The sequence below is a fragment of the Homo sapiens genome, chromosome 12, assembly GCF_000001405.40.
Source record: "Homo sapiens chromosome 12, GRCh38.p14 Primary Assembly".
In the NCBI taxonomy this organism is placed as follows: domain Eukaryota; kingdom Metazoa; phylum Chordata; class Mammalia; order Primates; family Hominidae; genus Homo; species Homo sapiens.
In genome coordinates this window covers 120675824-120676175 of record NC_000012.12, presented here as the reverse complement: position 1 = coordinate 120676175, position 352 = coordinate 120675824, and the positions used below count along the sequence as shown (strand labels likewise).

The 352-nt window shown below is 49.1% G+C and overlaps 1 protein-coding gene across 4 annotated transcripts in view; it reads right to left on the bottom strand.

Annotated features, from left to right (window-relative positions):
- Positions 1 to 352, bottom strand: part of CABP1 (calcium binding protein 1) — a 40241-nt gene that overhangs the window by 4691 nt on the left and 35198 nt on the right. The gene's annotated exons all lie outside the window — the stretch shown is intronic.

Here is a 352-nt window from a genome sequence, read left to right as displayed (position 1 = left end):
TTTAAATAGTCACATATGGCTAGTGGCTACCATATTGGACAGCAGAGTCTAGACTATTATCTCCATGAGACTAGGAATCAAGGCTGTTTTTTATTTTTTGAGATGGAGTCTCCCTCTCATCATGCAGGCTGGAGTGCAGTGGTTCGATCTCAGTTCACTGCAACCTCCACCTCCCAGGTTCAAGCGATTCCCCTGCCTCAGCCTCCCAAGTAGCTGGAATTACAGGTGCCCACCACCACGCCCAGCTAAATTTTGTATTTTTAGTAGAGATGGGGTTTCGTCATTTTGGCCAGGCTGGTCTCGAACTCCTGACCTCAGGTGATCAGCCTGCCTTGGTCTCCCAAAGTGCCGG